The sequence below is a fragment of the Homo sapiens genome, chromosome 21 (genome assembly GCF_000001405.40).
Source record: "Homo sapiens chromosome 21, GRCh38.p14 Primary Assembly".
Classification (NCBI taxonomy): domain Eukaryota; kingdom Metazoa; phylum Chordata; class Mammalia; order Primates; family Hominidae; genus Homo; species Homo sapiens.
The window spans coordinates 25546990-25561858 of NC_000021.9; the positions used below are offsets into that span (position 1 = coordinate 25546990).

Sequence of the window (14869 nt, forward strand, 5' to 3'; positions counted from 1 at the left end):
TCACTATCCCAAAATCTAACACCTCACCCTATCAGGTTGCTGCGACCTGCCTCAGAATGTGAATGGCAACAGCAAGACTTCATTCCTGCTGCTGTCCTTGAGCACATCAATTTTTTCCAATAAACGTTAATCCAGCAAGTGTGGTGCTATTATTTGCTCCATGGAAACCAACTATAGCTTAGTGCTTAAAGCAATCAATCATGGTCAAACACAATGCTTAGACCCTGCTCTATTAGATAATTTTGGTGAGGGTAAGAAGGTGCTTAATGCTCTGAAAAATTAAATTAAAAGTTTTGTTACAAAAGATAGTAATGCTGTAATGGCAAAGAGAACAACAGCAACAACAGAAAAAAAGAAAACACACACACACACACACACACACACACACACACACACACACACACTACATCCAGAACCCATATTCACAGAACCCAGAGAGACAGGAGCAATAAGGCTGATTTTGCAATCGGCTGCAGCAAAAATGGGTTACATCCAGCTGCTTTCATTGGGATGAAACAAAAAATTATCTTACTACCCTTGTGGTACCTGGGCTTCCTATACCCCAAAATTAGTTACACAGGTAGCTGCTTCTAGAACCATGTTTGCATGCTGTATAACAGATTCTTTAATAATATGCAGCCTATCCTGGATTTGCTTGCTCATCCTTGGGCACTTACATGGTCTCAGGATATTTAACTCCCTGCAAGATTATGTTTGTATTTGCACACATTTTATTCTTCATAGAAGGCCGAAGTTGCTTACAGACTAACTCATATGTATCTTTTCTCCATATGAGGTTGAATCTTCTATTTTCCACAAATTGACCCAATGGGGATAGAATGTCTTGAATTCTTTCATGTCATTTCTCAATTAGAATAATTTGTGGATTCAGTTTTCAAGTATGATGGTAAAGTGGCATGTACATTTAGTAAGAGTGGTTCATTTAATGGTTAGAGATACAAGAAGAAAGAACAATGGCCTTCAGGATTTAAGCCTGTCAGATTCAGATTACAGAGAACCAAGAGAGTTAATGGTGTAAGTCTCAATCTAGGGACAGTAGATGTATGTCCCCGCTCAAACCATCAGTCAGAGAACAAATTCTTCCTTCCTCCACTTTTTGTTCTATCTAGGCTTTGAAAAGACTGCATGATGCCCACCTACATGGAGAAGGCCAAATTACTTTACTCAATCAACCAATTCCAATGTGAATTTTACCCAGGAACATCATCACAAGCTACCTAGAAATAATGTTTCATAACATATCTGGGCCTCTGTGGCACTGTCAAACTGACACATCAAATTAACCATCACAGTGGCAATGCAATATTTTTAAATGAACAAAGAAGGCAGTAAATTATAATCATTAGAAATTTTAGTCCTTCCTGATATAGTTCTTGTTATTTAACTTAAAACAAGCCAGGATCATAAGAGGCAGCATAAACACACTAAGTTAACAGGTGTTGAAGAATCAAAGATTCATAAGGTGATGCAAAATGAAACTGCTATCTGAGTAGGATATATAAAAGATAAAGAATAATTCTTTATTCTTCGTGTGGAGCTCAGGCTTAGATCATTTTTAGTTATGATTCTTTTCTATTATAGTTAAGCTATTTTGTTTATTATCAATAAAGCAGTTTTTTGTGTGTGTGTCTGTGTGTGTATACAGTACTATATTACATGAGAACTTTTCACACAATAAACTTTAGTTTAAAATATATTGGCCAGGTGCTATGGCTCACAGCTATAATCCCAGCACTTTGGGAGGCCAACGTGGGAGAATCACTTAAGCCTATAGTTTGAAATCAGCCTAGGCAACAAAGTGAAGGTCCTATCTCTACAAAAAATCAAAACGTTAGCCAGACATAGTGGCACATGCTTATAGTCTCAGCTACTAGGGAGGCTAAGGCAGGACAATCACTTGAGCCCAGTAGGTTGAGGCTACAGTGAGCTGTGATTGTACCACTGCACTTAAGCCTGGGTGACAGAGAAAGATCCTGTCTCAAAATAAAATAAAATAAATTATAAAATTAAAAGCAACTATACATTAGAGCAAGGGACTAGGAGCAGGGTAGCACTTGACAGCCTGGGCTTGTCCTAGTGACCCTGCTTCCCACTCTCCCCAGACGAAGGCTCTGACCATTCCTTTCCTCCAAGAAAAAACTCCTGGCTCCTGAGCATGGCTACAGGACCTTGGGATTTGTTTTTAACTGTAAACCTCACGTTTTGGTCCTTGCAGCTTGCTAAAGACACCCCAGGGATAGGACAAAGCATCCAAGCGATAGAGCGCCAAGGCCAGGCCTTCATATCTAGGCCTATTTTTCAGAGAAAATAAAGTGGGAGCCTGTCTAGACCATCTTTATCTTTTAATTGGGATCTCAGATATATTTTTCCAAGCTTAATGTTATTTACCTGAACATTTGTGTACAAATGGCCTTTAATATATATCCAGATAGATGACCTATCCAGATATGGCCTTTTATATATCCAGATAGATAGATAGATATAAAATAAGCATCCTGTTATAAAACTGCCAACACAATGTGGCATCACCACAGCCTAGTATGACATTCCAGGGATGAGCAGCTTGTGTGAGGCAGTGCCTATCCAGTTAGCCACCCTGCTGAGGATGTACCTCAATTAGAACTTTTGTGTGTGTGACATTGCCTTCTAAAGACATTCTAGCAGTGTGGTGTTGGTGTATGGTGTGGGAAACACCAAAGACCTTTCCTACCAGAATAATTTGTAACCCTCCATGTGAGCACACAGTGTATTCACCATTTTTGTATTGCTCTAAAGAAATACCTGGGACTGAGTAATTCAGAAAAAAAAAAGAGGTTTAATTGGCTTATGGTTCTGCAGACTGTACAGAAAGCATAGCACCAGCACGTGCTTCTGGGGAGGCCTCAGGAAGCTTCCAATCATGACAGAAGGCAAATGGGGAGCAGGCACATCCCATGGTAGAGCACGAGAGAGAGACAGAGCTGTCAGGGGAGGTGCCACACATTTTTAAATGACCAGATCTCATGTGAACTCAGAGCGAGAGCTCACTTATCACCAAGGGGATGTCCCATCCCATTCATGAGGGATCCACCCCCATGATCCAAGCACCTCCAAATAGGCCCCACCTCCAACAATAGGGATTACAATTCAACATAAGATTTGGGCAGGGAAAAATATCCAAACTATATCACAAACCTAGGAGGCTCTCCCATTATCACGTTGGGAACCTGCATTTAAATTAGAAGATGAGAAGAAACATCTGGGGTTTGTACCCAATTCCCTTACACTGGCATTGAGAGAAAGCTAGTAATACATCTATTATCTTGTCACTACCCAAGAGATGGTACTCAGAAAACTGAACACTTGGGCACCAAACTTTGAGGAAATGATCACTTCATGTAAATGAGGTTATCCCAACAGAAAGATAATTTACATCTCCGAACATCAAACGGCTCTTTGGGGTTCCAGTTATATTCCCGCTGTGTAATATATGCTAATTCCTAGAGTGGAGGACCCATACTGGCAACAGCGGTGACCTGAGCCCTGGGGCCTGATGATCCGGCACCGTGGATATTTGCTTGCTCTGCTTTGAGGAAGAAGGTATCTGTGGTAGAACAAGATTCTGATTTATATCAAGCTATATTCCTAAGATCTCTCTCATTACTTATCCTTGGTCTCCTTTGGATCATCAGGTCCTCAACAAGAGGTGAAATTATTTGTAAAGAGACATTAAAGAGCTTATGTTACTTTTAAGTCACGTATGGTTCGTTTCTCACCCGGTTTAACCACTATGGGCAGTTCCATTTTACTGGCAACAGGGAAGTTTACTACCATAGAAAATTAGAGTTAGCAAAAGTATTCCTCCCACAGTTCTGTTTGCTGATTTTCTCAGAAACTGCCCTCTTACTGCCTACAGAATATAAAATCAGAAGGAACACCGTGGTTATTACCATGTAAATTCTTAAGACAGAGCCAGGCTCATTAATTTCCAGGAACACAACTAAAGCTACTGCGGTTGAAATATAGTAAAAATGAAAAATGCACAAATGAAGTCTGAAGGGTAAAGTGGGACCCAGATGCTGTAAAACTGCAGATCAGGTTGGAGTTTACTTTTATCCTCAGTGCTATGGCAAGCTATGGCAGAATTTCAGGTAAGAATGTGGCATCAGAGTTAGGTTTTTAAAAGACCACCCTGGCTATGTATGCATTATGGGAGGAAAAGGGAAGGAAGCACGACAATTGTCTAAGCAAAAGAGGATGGTGGTTTGGACTAGGGTAGTAGCAGTAGAGATGGACAGATGTAGGTGGAATCAGGCCATGGTTTAGAGGTAGAGTCTATACAATTCTTAATGAACTGGATATGTGGAGTGACAGAAAGTAAGAAATAACAGGTGCCCGAACGATAAAGTAGAAGGTGGCAGCAACTACTGAGATGATCAAGATCAGGGAGAAATAAATTTGACCATATAAATCAAGAGTTCTACCAGCTGCCACCCTGAAAATCAATTTCTGTTATTCTTCAAGTAGGGGCATTCATAAGTCAATATAATTTTATTAATCAATATTGTATTAGTCCATTCTCACACTGCTATTAAAGAAATACCTGAGACTGGGTAATTTACAAAGAAAAGAGGTTTAATTGGCTCATGGTTCTGCAGGTTGTCCAGAAAGCATGGTGCATCTGCTTCTGGGGAGGCCTCAGGAACTTCCAATCATAATGGAAGGGGAAGGCAGAGCAGCCACATCACAGGTGAAAGCAGAAGCAAGAGAGTGAGGTGGGAGGTGCTACATACTTTTAAATGACCAGATTTCATAAGAATGTACTCACTGTCATGAGGACAGAACCAAGGGAGATGGTGCTAAACCATTCATGAGAACTCTACCCCATGATCCAATCACCTCCCACCAGGCCCTACCTCCAAGGGGATTATATTTCAATATGAGATTTGGGTAGCGACATATATCCAAACTATATAAAGATATGCCAAATATACCAAACACTGTATTTATTAACATTCATAGACCCTTAATTTGTTGAGTCAAAATTGCACCCCTGTTTAGGTCATCTTTGAATATATACACTTGCTATTCTTCTGTTGGCCTCCTGTTTCCTAGCAAAGTTAATTTAATTCAGAATTTATTGATTAACTACCTTGCACCTAACACTAAATACTATGCTAAGTATTATGAGGAATAGTAATTTAGTAAATAAAACATGAATCCAGTTCTTGAACATGTTACATTTATGTTAGCAAGATAAAAACAAACACTGATAATGCAGCTCAATAAGAAAATCAAATGATATAGTATGAAATGCAACAGTTAATAATAGAGAAATCTGGGCCAGATGCAGTGATTTATGCCTGTAATTCCAGCACTTTAGGTGGCTGAGGTAGGAGGCTCACTTGAGGCCACGAGTTCAAGACCAGCCTGGGCAGCATAATAAAACCCTGTCTCTACAAAGAATAAAAATTTAAAAAAAAATTGGTTGGGCATGGTGGCACATGCTTGTAGTCCTAGCTACATGTGAGGCTGAGATGGGAGGATCACTTAAGGCTAGGAATGTGATGTTTCAGCGAGCTATGATTGTGCCACTGCACTCATCCTGGGTGACAGAGAGAGACCCTGTCTCTAAAATAATAATAAAGAAATCTGACCATCAGTGCCATAAGAGTTTGGACAAAAAGTTTAGACTATGAAAGCTGGATAAGTCAGGGAAGATTTTTTTAGAAGAATAAATATATAGAACTCCAACAAAGAGCTGTGTTCAAAATACAGGATAGAAATCAGCATGACTAAAGTTTTGTTCTCTGATGATATCAAAGATATTGGTCACTTCTACAAAAAAAAAAAAAGAATTTTAACTACACATTCCTTTGAGGCTTGAAGAAAACGTGGGAAACTGAGATATTCCTTTTGTGTTTATCTACCTGAAAGCATTTTGTTATTTCAGAGATAACTGAGCCTGGAACTTATATAGATGCATACGTTTTCTGTAAAATAGAATAATGTCAAGTGACCTCTTGGGTATGTTTGTATTAGTTTCGTAATGCATTTGTTTACACGAATGATAATCTTGAAGCTCAAGGTTAGCTCATTTCCACAGTTTACTGCCCCTATTCATGCTACTCCCTTGGATTCACTTTGTCCCACACCCTAAACCTAGCACCGGGATAAGTTTAAAATTATATTCAACAGAATTAACATTAGAATGCTGTTCTTAAAACAGACCTGGAGATGCAAAAAAGGATTTAAAAGGCCATTGGGATAGCTGAATAATTTAAAAATAAAGCTTGGTAAAAAGAAAACTGAAATTATTGTATTTATTACAAAAAGCATACACACCTGTAGAAATCATAGATGAGGCCCCTACAGAGACTGGTGAGATGCTTCTGAGCAAGGACCCATGAGGGTTGCAATTGCCCAGAGGTATAGAGGATACCATTCTGAGGTCTCCAAAGATGGTCCTCACCCCTGTATGTTTCCCCTATAAATACTTTTAAAAACCTGAAAAAAATGAAAAAGAAGAATACAAAAAGAAAGCCAAAAACCACTTTCATAGTCAGAGAGTGTTGTGGACTGAATTGTACCTCCCCTCACCTAATTCATATGTTGAAGCCCTGACCCCCAATATGATTGTATTTGGAGACAGGGCTTTTAGAATTAAGGTTAAAATGAGGTCAGAAGGATGGTGTTCTAATCCAATAGGACTGGTGCCCTCATAGGAGGAGGAAGAGAGAGATCTCTCTCTCTAAATGCACACACTGAGGAAATTCCACATGAGCCCATAATGAGAAGGTGGCCATCTGCAAGTCAGGAAGAAAGCATTTCCTAGGCATCTAACCAGCTGGCACTTTGGTCTTAGACTTCCCATACTCCAGAACTATGAGAAGTAAATTTCTGTCTTTTAACCACTCAGTCTATCATATTTTGTTATGGAAACCCTAACGGGTTAATACAGGTTTTGATGCCAAGAAATGGAATGCTGCTATAACAAATACCTAAAAATGTTGAAGCAGCTTTGGAATTGAGTAGTGTGTAGGGGCTAGAAGAGTGTTAAGGTCCATGCTAGAAATACAGACATTAAAAGCAATTTCTGGTGAGGTTTCATACGGAAATAGAGAGTTGGAAAGAAAGCTTCGATCTTCTCAGTGAAAAGGTAAATACACATAAAGAGAACGTTGGCAGAAATATAGATGTTAACAGATATTCTGGTGAGGTCTCAAATGAAAATGGGGAACATTTTATTGGAAACTGAAGAAAAAGTTACCCTTGTTACATAGTGGCAAGGAACTTGGCTGAATTGTGCTCATGTTCTAGTGTTTTGTGGAAGACAGAACTTGAAAGCAATGAAACTGGATAGTTAACAGAGAATTTTTCTAAGCAGAGTGTTGAAGAAGTGGCTTTGTTCCTCCTGGCTGGTTTTAGGAATATGTGAAAGGAGAGAGATTAATTGAAGAAGGGATTGTTGAGAAAAAAAGAACCAGACTTGAATATTAGGAAAATTCTCAGCCTACCCATACCGCAAAAAATGAGAAAGCATGCTCTGAAGAGAACATCAAAGTGTAGCTGGATTATCACCTCATAAAGAGCTAATGAGATTATATGAGTAAAAACATTTTCATTTTTAACTGAAGGGAACAGAGATGGAACAAAATGAAGGAAAGCTATTGAACTTCTTGGATTTGACAAGACAATAGAGCTATTTGGCTGCACACATACGCTATTCTTAAAGAAGAGGGGAAAATGACCCTGCAGGGAATCCAGAGGTCATCAGGGCTGCCACCTTGGTTTCTAAAGGTCAGATGGTCTCCACCTGAAGTCTTGGAGGCGAGACCTCCAACTAGAGCCATTGGGGTGATGCTGCCATCCCACTGGGTCTGAAGGACAGAGCATCAAACCAAAGAGGATTGTTCTTGAGCCTTTAGACCTAATGGAGTTTGACTCACTAGATTTTTGGACTTGCTTGGGACCTATCACCTCTTCCTTCTTTTCTACTTCTCTTTTTTGAAATGGAAATGTTTACCCTATTCCTGTCTAACCATTGAATTCTGGAAGCACATAACTTATCTGACTTGCCCAGGTTCACATCTGGAAAGGAATTTTGCCTCGTGATGAATCACAGCTGGAGTCTTATCCATATCTGATTTGTAGGACATTTAGATGAGACTTTGGACTTTATGTTGGACTTTTGTGGGCTATTGAGTTAAAATATATATTTTTTGCATGTGAGAAGGAAGTAAATTTGGGAGGCCATGGGCAATATGCTATGATCTAAATTGTGTTCCCCCACAACGTTGGTGTTCCTACCATCAACGGTGGATTGGATAAAGAAAATGTGATATATATACACCATGGAATATTATGCAGCTATAAAAAGAAAAAATCATATCTATTGCACAACATGAATGCAGCTGGAGGCCATTATCTTAAGCAATCACCAATAAAGCCCTAATCACCAACAGAAATTTGGAGATGGGGCTTTTAGGAGGTAATCAATGAGGTTATAAGGCTAGGGCCCTAATCTAAACAGGAGTAGTGGCATTATAAAGATAGGGAGAGAGGTGGGTATATCTCTCCACATGCACCCACCAAGGAAAGGTCATATGAGAACATAGCAAGAAGGTGGTTGTCTGCAGGAAGAAAGTGCTCACCTAGAACTGAATCAGCACCTTGATCTTAGGCTTCCTGCCTCCAGAACTGTGAGCAATAAATTTCTGTTATTTAAGTCATAGTATTTTGTGACAGTCCTAGGACTAATTCAATGAGCAATATGAGAGTATCACTGAGTTCTCAGCTTGGTTCCAGGTGCCTGACTTATACATGTTGGTCTTCAGGCAGAAAAAGAACACAAGAATAGACACTGCTGTCTCAAACTGTAAAAATTTTAGAAGTAAACCTAGATATCAAATTGGCAAAGAATTTGTGGCAAAGTCCTCAAAAGCAGTTGCAACAAAAGCAAAAATTGACAAATGGGACATAACTAAATTAAAGAGCTTCTGCACAGCAAAAGAAACTATCAACAGAGTAAACAGATGATAGAATGGGAGAAAATATCTGCAAACTATGCTTCTGACAAAGGTCTAATATCCATAATCTAAAAGGAACTTAAACAAGTCAATGAGCAAAAACAACCCCATTAAAAAGTGGGTAAAGGACATGAACAGACACTTCTCAAAAGAAGTCATACAAGCAGACAACAAACATATGAAAAAATGTTCATCACCACTAATCATCAGAGAATGCAACTCAAAGCCACAATGAGATACCATATCACACCAGTCAGAATGGCTATTACTATAAAGCCCCAAAATAATAGATGTTGGTGAGGCTGCAGAAAACAAGGGAATGACTATACACTGTTTATGGGGATGTAAATTAGTTCAGCCACTGTAGAAAGCAGTTTGGATATCTCTTAAAGAACTAAAAATAGAACTACCATTCAACCCAGCAATCCCATTCTGAGTATATACCCAAAGGGAAATAAATTGTTCTACCAAAAAGGCACATGCACTTGTATGTTCACTCCAGCACTATTCACAATAACAAAAACATGAAATCTACCTAGATGTCCATCAATGGTGGATTGGATAAAGAAAATATGATATATACACACCATGGAATACTATGCAGCTGTTTAAAAAACCAAAATCGTATCTTTTGCACAACATGGATGCAGCTGGAGGCCATTATCTTAAGCAAATTAATGCAGAAACAGAAAATCACCTACTACATGTTCTCACTTGTAAGTGGGAAATAAACATTAAGTACACAGGGCCGGGCATGGTGGCTTATGCCTGTAATCCTAGCACTTAGAGAGGCCGAGGCGGGTGGGTTACTTGAGGCCAGGAGTTCAAGACCAGCCTGGCCAACATGGAGAAACCCTGCCTCTACTTAAAAATACAAAAATTAGCCTGGCGTGGTGGTGCACACCTGTAGTCCCAGCCACTCGGGAGGCTGAGGCATGAGAATTGCTTCAGCCTGGGAGGCAGAGGTTGCAGTGAGCACTCCAGTCCAGGCGACAGAGCAAGACTTTGTCTCAAAAAAAAGCGGGGGGTACACATGGACATAAAAATGGGAATAATATACACTGGAGACTACAAGATAGGGGAGGAAGGGAGCGCAGCATGGGATGAAAAATTGCTTAGTAGGTATTATGCTCACTACCTGCGTGATGGGTTTAATTGTACCCCAAACCTCAGCATCACACAATATACCCTTATAACAAATCTGCACATGTACTCCCTGAATATAAAAGTTGAAAAAAATAATAGACACTGTTGGTGCTCAGAGAAGTCTCCCCAGTTATTTCAGAGAGGAAGGGGGTGGGAAAGACAGTGTAGAGTAATTTACTACAGGTGACTCATCAATTCACAAACTGAACCTTTAGACACTGAGCCAGGCCAGCTGAAATAAGAATATGGTTGAGGTCAGATACTGAGGGAAGTGAGTGCTATGGGGGGGCAGGTGGAGGAATTTTCTCTATATGTGATGTGATGATGATGACATCTATATGGAAGCAGAATGGTTCCCTTCCAAGGTTGTTCAAGAACCAAAATATTTTGAGAATCTTCGTCCTTTCCCCAGAACCTAACTTTTCCTCCATTATATGAAAATTTCCAAAAGACTGTGAAAACCTACCTTCCCAAAATGTTCAAATGAAGAAAATGAGCCAAGAGCAAAATCTCTACACTACCAAAAACTTTAAATTTTATGAAAAAAGTTATCTATGGAAGGCAGTGTATGTATAGACAAAAGAATTCTTAAGAGGCATTTGATGAGTATAAATGACTAAACAATTAGAGCATAGCTAAAAAGAGTCTGTAACTCACTGCAGAAAACACTAGTCTCCTTTGCAGAGGTTTGACTTTATTCCAGTGTTCCTTATGAAGGGGTGAATGGGAAAGATAAGGTTGAAAGGTTCATTCTCTCTAATTTGTAAATTTCATCTATTTGATAGAAAGAGAGAGAAAAAAAGCCACTCCTTTGCCCTCTGAAGGGAAAGGCATCCCAGCATTTAAGAGTATCACATAACACTCCAAAGCAGCAACCCATTTACAGAGGAAACATGAGTGAAAACAACATAGGCCAGAATTGGGCTTCCAAATGTTATAAACAGTGAAAGGAATAAAAATTAAATTATGATAGGAAAAAATTCTCTGATGCTTTGTTTGTGAAAAATAAAAACAAACACTCTTCATGAAATCTGAACATCTTATGAAGGCTACATTTTTTTAGCCTCAGGCATTAATTATGGTTGCGCCACTGATGGAGTCCAAAGGAAGCCAATTCAATCCACTTCATCCTCAGGGATGGAGAGCAACCACAAGTTTACAAAATAATTAATTATCTCCAGGTTATTGTACAACAGGGTAAACAGTGAACTGAAACCCTGTACCACAATAAATAAGCTGGTCAAGGCTGAAATGTGGGTCTATTTCTTCACTCACCATCTCTGTCTTACATTCTTCCAAAGGGCTGAACTTCAAGATCGTTGAGTACTAAACCTCCAGAAACTATTTTTATTTTTTTCTACCACTTTTTTTTTTTTAAGGAGAGAGATTGGAGGCTGGTTCCTAATCATTCCCTGTGATTATTGTAGGTTTCTGTAGAATTTCATGAAACTATGATGTTTTTAGCAAGACTTTGTCATTGATCTGTAGCTGTGCCAGTTGTCACAATCTATTCATCATTATTGATAATAAGTAATATCAAGAAGTACCACTCTTATCTGGAAGGTCATTGATGTGAGCTGCTCGGTCTCTGGAGGGTAAGATGAGGGATGAGAACACCAGCCCCATCAGCCCTGGAGACACATCCATATTACTTTGCGAGGGCTGCTGTGACAAGAGTACCGCAAACTGGGTGGTTTAAACAACAGAAATTTATTGTTTTTCAGTTCTGTGAGCTGAAGTCCAAGATCAAGATGTCAGCAGGACTGGTTCCTCCTGAGAGCTGTGAGGGAAGGATCTGTTTCAAGCCCCTCTCCTTGGCTGGTAGATGGCCATCTTTTCCCAATGTTTCTTCACACTGTCTTCCTTCTATATGTGTTTCTTTCTCTACACATCATGTTCTTTTTCTAAGAACACCAGTCATATTGGATTAGGAGCCAACCCTATTTTAATAAGACCTCATCTTGACTAATTACATCCACAAAGGCCTTGTTTCCACATAAGGTTATATTCTGAAGTACTGGTTGGTCTACAGCCATACCACCCCACACACACCCGATCTCATCTGAAGTACTGGGTGTTAGGACATCAATATATGAATTTGGGAGGTGGGGGGAGGGGGACACAATTCAGCCCACAACAACATCCATGGGGTACTTGTCCCGGCAGGTGGCCAGCTCTTACTTTCTCAAGCTATCCATTTGGAGCAGGTCCTTTTTTTTTTTTCTTTTTTTTTTTTTTTGAGACAGTCTCGCTCGCATTCCAGGCTGGAATGCAGTGGCGCGATCTTGGCTCACCGCAAACTCCGCCTCCCGCATTCATGCCATTCTCCTGCCTCAGCCTCCAGAGTAGCTGGGACTACAGGTGCCCGCCATCATGCCCGGCTAATTTTTTTTTCTTTTTTGTATTTTTAGTAGATTCAGGGTTTCACCATTCTAGCCAGGATGGTCTCAATCTCCTGACCTCATGATCCAGTCACCTCAGCCTCCCAAAGTGCTGGGATTACAGGATGAGCCACCGCGCCTGGCCTGGAGCAGGTACTTTTTATCCATCACCTTATTTAATCATCATATCCCTCTTAGTCTGCTAGGGTTGCCATAAGAAAATACCATAGACTGGATGGCTGATACAACAACAATTTATTTTCTCACATTCTGGAGGCTAGAAAGTTCCAGATCAAGGTCCTGCAGGGTTCGGTTTCTGGTGAGGACTCTCTTCCTGGCTTACAGGAAACCACCATCCCATTGTGTGCTCACATGACCTCTGCTTTGACTGATTTCTGAGAGAAAGGGAATTCTGGTGTCTCTTCCTCTTCTCATAAGAGCACTAGCTCTATGGGATTAGTGATCCACCCTTTTGACCTCATTTAACCTTTATCACCTCCTCACAGGCCCTATCTCCAAATGGGGATAACATTGGGGATCAGGGCTTCAACATATAAAGTTGAAGAGAACATGATTCAGTCTATAGTAATCCCTGATGGGAGACATCATTATTGTCATTTACAGGAAGCTGAGACATAAAAAGTTTAACGTTCAGATTCCACAGCTAGAATTAGTGTAAAATGCAGGTGTATTTGACTCCTAAAACCCATTTATCCATCCACTATTCTGGGTGTCTCAAACTGGGACCTAAAATGCGGAGGTTTGCACATGACCTGAAATTACTTCCACCACTGGGAGAAGGGAGGATTGAGCAATTTCCTGTTTCTATTAAAGTGCATTATACAAACTTGTCATTCTGGGGATGAAAGGTCACCCTAGAATTGCCTATGGGCAATTTCTTATAGTTCAACCTAGAATGAGAAATGGGAAATTCAGAAAGGCATTGTAGGCATCTGTAACCAGCAGAGGGACGTGCCCCACCTGGGTGGGGACCATGCATCCTTGCCACATGCCCCACTGCACAACTTCCCCAGCTCCTCAACGTCACATGGATCTGGAAAGCAGGGAGACTGGACTACGGAGCCAGCCCTCCAGGGTTGGAACTGAGTTTGAATCTCAGCTTGACTACTTACTAGGATCTAAGGTAACATGTTTAATCTCTCTGTGCTCAGTTTCCTCATCTGGAAATAGAGATTATAATGCTCCTCCCTCATATGATCATAGTGAGGACTGAAAGAGTTAATGCATATAAGGAGTGTTAGGACAGGATCTGGCACATGGTAAATGCTTTATAAGTGTTAGTTGTTATCATCATGATTATTCTTGTTTGAATTATAAGAGAAAAAGCATGTATCTTAAGAATAGAGGGTTTTAAAATGCTCCCAAGTTCCTTAACCAACCTGAGCCATCTGTAAATTAAGTACTATGGGATTTCCAGCTCTGACATGTATTCTGACATGTAACTGGCATCAGTTTAATACAAACTATTCTAAAATGTCTTGTGCCCTTGACAGGGAGGTCCAAGTACTGGATACTTGCAATGCAATCCAGCAGTGGCCCCGTCTTTCTTACAAAAAGGCCCCAGTCACATGTTGATGAGGCTAGATCTATTCCTGTCCTCCTTCTCTTCCCCATATTTCCTTATTCTTCTTCAAGTCTAAACGTTTATTGAACTGAGACCCATGAATGAGTTACTCGACTAGGCTTGTAGGATAAACTTGCCAGGCTTTAGATCTATTTGTTCCTTTCCATCCCCCAAAATCAAATGGCTGCTCCAGGAAAATGTTCCCCTTGTGGCAGGGTCCGGGAGAAAAGAGAGAAGCGACAAAACCAAAAATTAAAACGACCGAAGTCCCATATGCTCCAGGAATATGTCCTGGAGATGGGAGTGGAGGGCAGGGGGAGAATGTTGTTGAGGTCAAAATTTTTGAAGTTTTAAGTCCTATATCTTGACATCCCGAGTATAAATGCGGGTACCAGACACAGTACAAACGTTCTCAAAGCCCAGTTACGTATTCCAAACCAAACGCGGGCTCTTGAAGGGTGATGAGGTAGGGATGAAATCCAGGATCGCCTGAAGACCATTTCTTCCTCTCTTAGGGACCTGCTGGTCTCCAGCTGATTCGGTCCAGGAGGAAAAACCTCCCACTTGCTCCTCTCGGGCTCCCTGCAAGGAGAGAGTAGAGACACTCCTGCCACCCAGTTGCAAGAAGTCGCCACTTCCCCCTCCAGCCGACTGAAAGTTCGGGCGACGTCTGGGCCGTCATTTGAAGGCGTTTCCTTTTCTTTAAGAACAAAGGTTGGAGCCCAAGC

At 40.5% G+C, this 14869-nt stretch overlaps 2 annotated features.

The window, feature by feature from the left end:
* Positions 4602–4661: an enhancer, noted in NCBI's record as "active region_18307". NCBI's record gives its function as "activates an Ori minimal core promoter by ATAC-STARR-seq in GM12878 lymphoblastoid cells {active_cell/tissue: GM12878}" and the evidence as "EXISTENCE:reporter gene assay evidence [ECO:0000049][PMID:35858748]".
* Positions 14691–14740: an enhancer, noted in NCBI's record as "active region_18308". NCBI's record gives its function as "activates an Ori minimal core promoter by ATAC-STARR-seq in GM12878 lymphoblastoid cells {active_cell/tissue: GM12878}" and the evidence as "EXISTENCE:reporter gene assay evidence [ECO:0000049][PMID:35858748]".